General features: G+C 35.2%; 1 annotated feature.

Annotated features, from left to right (window-relative positions):
• Positions 278 to 572: a silencer, noted in NCBI's record as "tiled region #15097; HepG2 Repressive DNase unmatched - State 9:DNaseU, and K562 Repressive DNase unmatched - State 9:DNaseU". NCBI's record gives its function as "represses a minimal TATA promoter and a strong SV40 promoter by Sharpr-MPRA in HepG2 and K562 cells {active_cell/tissue: HepG2 | K562}" and the evidence as "EXISTENCE:reporter gene assay evidence [ECO:0000049][PMID:27701403]".

The raw sequence follows: 6427 nt of genomic DNA on the forward strand, positions 1-6427 counted from the left end.
CATGAGATATACCTAATGTCACTGAATTCTCTGTAGGGAGGTGATACTATCAGCACTGAGGCTTGGAGAGGTGCAGTGACTTCCCAGGACATTCAAATGGCAAGGGCAGAGTCCAGATCTAACGGGCATAGTCCGGATCTAAACCCAAATGAGACTGGATGTGAAGCCCAAGCTTTCACTGGCAGACATGGAAGCCTCACATGTCCTCTGGTGACTTCCTGGTTCGTCGAAAAGTTCCAGTCCATTTATTCAAGGCCAGGCGGAATACAACAAGCACTGAATTAGGCATCAGGAGACCTGGATTCTATTTCATGCTCTGCCACCAGCTTTTTGGGGGCCTGGGCCAAGACTTTTAAGACTTCTGCCCTTCTGCAACTGAGTTCCTTATAAGGCTTGTCTCCGGAGTGGTAGCTGTAGGTCGCTGTCCGTGGTGCTAAAGGCGTTCCTGCCTGAGGGCTCCAGCTTCACTCACAGAGGAGCAGGCTTGGGCGGCTGCCAGGAGAACACTGTGATTAATCAGCAGGTTTGAAATGGCAAACTAAATTCTAAAGGTGGAAGGAAGGAAGAATTCTTTATTGGTTTGCTGGGTCAGTGCCAAAGGATCTTAAAATTCTTTCTCTTTTTTTCTTAACCAAAAGCCACGTCTTTGACAATTCTCATCATCTGAATTGAATATCTCACTTTTTGGACAGAGACCTAGATTAATTAAGTTTCCACTGTGCAGGTGAAGAAATGGAACATTTCCTAATTTCTAAAGCTCTTTGTTTGCTCCTCACAAATCCCATTATTCTTTCCCCCAGAGGGAATCAGTATGCTAAATTTCGTGTTAATTACTTTTTGGTCTTTATCATTTGCTTGTGTGTGTTTCAACTTGTGTATATATCCTTAGTAAATACATTGATTTGCTTTTAGAACTGCACTTAATTGGAGTCATACTGCATGTATTCTTCTATCCCTTGCTTTGTTCCTTCAACATTGTGTTTGAGATGCATTCATGTTGTTGCATATTCATGATTGTGTAGTATTATTCTATAGAGTATGCCATAGTGTATCCATTCCAGTCTTAATATGACATATGAATTTTGTCATTTTTCCTATTATTAGTAATTATACTATAAACATTCTGGAACATATATTATGTTGCATGAGACTTTAGGTTTCATTAAGGGTATGTAGCTGGTAGTGGAATTGTTGGGTTATAGCCTATGACTAGTTCAACTTTACTAGAAGTGGCAGAGACTTATGGTGTTCACTATATCCCATTCTCTCCTCCTCCTATGGGAGATATGACCCATTTGCAGTCAGTTGGAGTCATGAATCTTGCTCTGCCCCATGGATTCTGAAGATAAGTCACATATCCTTGCCAGGTTGAATATTCTCAGTACAGTGTCAGACCCTCTTCATATTACTCCATTTGTGACTTGTCTTTCCACTCTCTTTGTGGTAAATTTTGATGAACAAATGTTCTTAACTTTCACATAGCTGTATTTATCATTTGTATGGCTTGTGCTTTTTGTGTCTTATTTAGAACATCCATTCACTATGCCAAGATAATAAAGATATCTATAATGTCTTCTAGATGCTTGATAACTTTGCCTTTCATGTTTACATATTTACCTAGAAAGCATTTTTTATATGGTGTGTAGTAGGGTCCAACATCTTTTTCCCTATGGTTACTCATTTTCCCAGCACTGTGTAAGGAACTGTCCATCCTTTCTCCACTGGTATGTGATAGTGATATGTCATGCATCAAGTCTTCACATAGGGATATGTCCATTTCTGGGCTCTCCACTGGTCCATTTGTCTATTCCACACTAATTGCTTTAGCATAACAATACATTTTGATTTATTCTTCAAGAGTATGTTAGCTGTTGTTGGACCTTTGCATTTCTACATAAATTTTAGAATCAGCTTGCCAAATTCCACCAAAAAAAGTCAAGATTTTTATTGGCGTTGCATTGAATCTGTAGATCAATTTAGCAAGAATTTACAACTTTATGAGAAGGAGTCTTCCAACCTATTTATTTAGATCTTCTTTAATGTCCTACAATAAATTTTTATAACTTTCTCCATAAAGGTCTTGGATATTAAAGGAAAGATTTATTCTTGGTTTCTGTATTAGTTTCCTATTGAGGAACAAATTGCCACAAACTTAGTGGCTTAAAACAACACAAATTCCTTATCTTACAGTCCGGGAAGGATGAAGTCTGAAATGAGTCTTCTCACTGGGCAGAAATAAAGGTGTCAGTAGGGCTGCATTCCTTATGGAGTTCCTACAGGAGAACATGTTTCCTTACCTTTTCCAGCTTCTGAAGTTTGAGGCATTCCTTAGCTTTTGACCCCTTCCTCCATCCTCAAAGCCAACGACATTGAGCTAAGTTCTCTTGCTGCCATCTCTCCGGCTCTCCTTTGCCTCCTTCTTTCCCTTTTAAGAATTCTCATGATTACATTACATCTACCTTGATAATCTCCCTATCTTAAGACCAGATGATTAGCAACCTTAATTTTATCTGTACTCATTCTTCTTCTTTGTCATGTAACTCGGTATTATCATAGGTTCTGGGAATTAGGATGTACACATCTTTCAGATGCTGTTATTCTTCCTACCATGGGTTCTTTATATTTTTTGAAGTTCTAAGAATAAAGTTTATAATTTTATTTTCTAGATGTTTGTTGCTATGGTGCAGTAATGTTGTAGATTTTTGTATATCAATTTTGTATACAACCTTGCTGAATACAATTCTAGTAAATCTAAAGATTCTTTAGTTTTTGTTATTGATGATATAATGTACATGAGTTTTGTTTCTTGCTTTCTAGACTTTATGCCTTTATGTGTGATTCTCTTTGCTTTTCTGTGCTAGTATGGACCCCTTATACAATGTTGACTAAAGTGAAGATAATGAGCATCCTTGTCTTATTCCTACCTCAATAATGAGAATAAGGCTTGCTGTATACAGTTTTTACAGATAGTCTTTTATCAGGTTAAGGGAATTATCTTCTAGACCTAGCTTGCTAAGAGTTCTTTTTGGGTTTGGGGAGTTTTTAATCATGAAAGAATGTTGATTTTTATCAAAAGCTTTTGATATGATCATCAAAGGATGATCATATGATTTTTTCCAATTTGTTAGTGGGGTGAATTCACTAATGCTTTTTTAATGTGAAACCAACCTTGCATTCTCTGAATGAAGACACCTTGATCATGATACACTAACTTTTTCACACATCATTGAATCTGTTACCATTTAGAAGTTTTGCATTTTAAATGATACTTGATTTAGCCTGAAATTTCCTTTCTCATGTTGCTTCGTCAGATTTTGGTATTAAGATTATACTAACCTTATAACAATATTTGAGTGTTTACTCTTTTTCCACATTTGTAAACATTTTGTATATCATTACAATTTTTTTGTTCCTTAAATATTTATTAGATTAAAAACCATCTGGGCCTACAGTTTTCTTCTTGGAAAGATTTTTACCTTGATTTGATTTCTTTACTGGCTTTAGGATTATGTAGTCTATTATCATAAATTTTATTACATTTTTCTAGACAATTTACATTTAAGTTTTCAAGTTTATTGACATAAAATTCTTCATAATTTCCTCTTACATTTATAATATCCTTGTATCATTGTCTGCAATATCGGATGTCCCCTTTATTTGTAATGCGGTTACTTGTGCCTTTTCTTTGTCCTTATTAATCTAGTCAGAGTTTTCTCCATTTTATCAGCTTTTTCAATAAATAACCATTGGCTTTTTCCTATTGTGTGTTTCTTTTCTATTTTATTAATTTATGATCTTATCTTTATTATATCCTACTCTTTTCTTTGATCTCTACTGCCATCATTTTCAGTTCCTGGGGATGGTGCTTAGCTCATTAACTTTCACACTTTCCTCTTTTGATTACAAGCATTTGAGTTTATAAATTCTCCCTCTAAATACTGACTTATCTGAAGCATACATGTTTTGACATATACTTTTATTATTGTCCATTTTCAATATTTCCTACTTTCCATGGTGGTTTCTTATTTCAGCTATGAGTTATCTAGAAGTGTTACCTAATTTCCAAATACATGACTTTTATAATTATAAAAAATTAAAATGATAATTAAACCACAAAAAAGTGATCAAGTTCTAACTGAATCATATTGGGTTCAGATAATGTGATCTATAATACAGTCCTTCCACTACATATTGGGCCATAAAACAAACAATAACATATTTGCTTGATGAAAATGTCTCTGTACAGCAGTTGAAATACTTTATATATGTCCATTAGGTCAAATTTATTAGACTTTTCAAATCTTCTCTACCCTTAAAATTTTTGTCTTCTTAATCTTTCATTTTCTGAGAGAGCTGTGTTAAAATCTTCCACTGTAATTATTGGTTTGTCTATTTCTCCTTATAGTTCTGTCAGGTTTTGCTTTATGTATTTGACACTGTATTATTAGTTGCATACAAATTTGGAGTTATTATAGCTTCCTGGTGAATTACTACTCTTATCATCATATTATTGTCTTTATTTCTAGAGTAATTTTGGTTTTTGTGCCTTATAATTTCTTTTCATTAGGACTTTTCTGTTACATATTTTCTTGCCATTTTATTTCAACCTTCTGTATCCTTATGTTTTAATCTATATTGTAAACATCATAAACCTGATTTTGTGGGTTTTGTCATCTTTCAGCTAACAGATTTAGTATATTTTCATTTATTGTAGGTACTTATTTCCATAACTTATAATCACTTTTTAGCTGTTACATAACTTCTCTGTGCCTCATTTTTCTCCACTGTAATACAGGGATAATAGCAACATCTACTTTAAAGACTTTTGGCTGGGACCAGTGGCTCATGCCTATAATCCCAGCATTTTGGGAGGCCAAGGTGGATGGATCACCTGAGGTCAGGAGTTCAAGACCAGCCTGGACAACATGGTGAAATCCCATCTCTACTAAAAAAATACAAAAAAATTAGCTGGGCATGGTGGCGGGCACCTGTAATCTCAGCTACTCGGGAGGATGAGGCAGAAGAACCACTTGGACCTGGCAGGCAGAAGTTGCAGTGAGCTGAGATTGTGCCACTGCACTCCAGTCTGGGCAACAGAGTGAGACTCCATCTCAAAAAAAAAAAAAAAAAAAAAAAAAAAAAAGACTTTGTAAGTAAGCTTATCTATATCTATATATCTCCTAAGGAAGGAATAGAGAGTTCCTTATAAGCATACTTGTTTTATATTTTATAGCATACATATGAAGGTTTTATATATATAATCTTAGAAGAATGCTTAACACATATGGCTATATTAAGTGTAAGCATCACTATTAGTATTATTAATACCATTAGGGTTGTGGTTTTATTTGTTCTGCCATTTCTATTTCTTTCTGTAGTTTTTCTTCTTTCCTTTCTTGACTTCTTTTAGACTGATTAGTTTTCCTTATTCCAGTTTTGGGGTTCACAAATTTAGAAGTTGTTCATGCTATTTTTCATCTTCTTGATAGTTACTCCAGAAATGGAAACCTGGACACATTTTTTTTGAGACAGATTCTTGTTCTGTCTGTCCCCCAGGCTGGAGTGCAGTGGTACAATCATGGCTCACTGCAGCTTCAACCTTCCAGATTCAAGTGACCCTCCAATCTTAGCCCTATGAGTAACTGGGACTACAGGCATGAGCCACCACCCCTAATTTTTAAATTTTTTGTAGAGATGGGGTCTTGCTATGTTGTCCAGGCTGGTCTTGAACTCCTGGGCTCAAGTGATCTTCCCACCTGAGCCTCCCAAAGTGCTGGAATTGCAGGCGTGAAACATCATGCCTGGCTGAAACTTTCATAAATAAAGCACCAAAGCCCAAGTCTAAGTCAATCAATATCCTTACCCTCCTCCTAAACCTTTGAAATTGAAATGAAAGGACCTTATCACAGTTTAATTCCAATCATCCCCTCACCAACATTTATGTGCTATTTTGCTATATATGTTAATTCTATTATGCTGTAACTCAACAATTCACAATTATTATTACATGTACTGTAAATGTTTGTTTAGATTTACCGACATATGTATCACTGAATTTGTTCTTCCTTCCTTCTTGCATCTCTGACATTCCATCTGCTATCAATTTCCTTCTACTTGTATTTCAAATTCCCTTTAAAGAAGTTTTGGTGGTGGAAAACTCTGCTTTTGTTTATAATAAAATGTCATTATTTTACTCATTGAAAAGTATTTTTGTTGCTCAGCACATTCTCGATATTATTTCACTAACTCCTGGACCCCACTGTTCTTGGTGAGAAGTCAGCTGTCAATTAATTGCCACTCTTAGGGAAGTAATTTTTCTTGTCTTTCTCTTTTAAAAATCATCCCTTTGCTTTGCATCTGGTCTCCTGAAATTGTATTATGATGTGTCAACTGTGTATTTTAAATGTTATCCTACTAGGAATTTCTT

The sequence above is a fragment of the Homo sapiens genome, chromosome 8, assembly GCF_000001405.40.
Source record: "Homo sapiens chromosome 8, GRCh38.p14 Primary Assembly".
Classification (NCBI taxonomy): domain Eukaryota; kingdom Metazoa; phylum Chordata; class Mammalia; order Primates; family Hominidae; genus Homo; species Homo sapiens.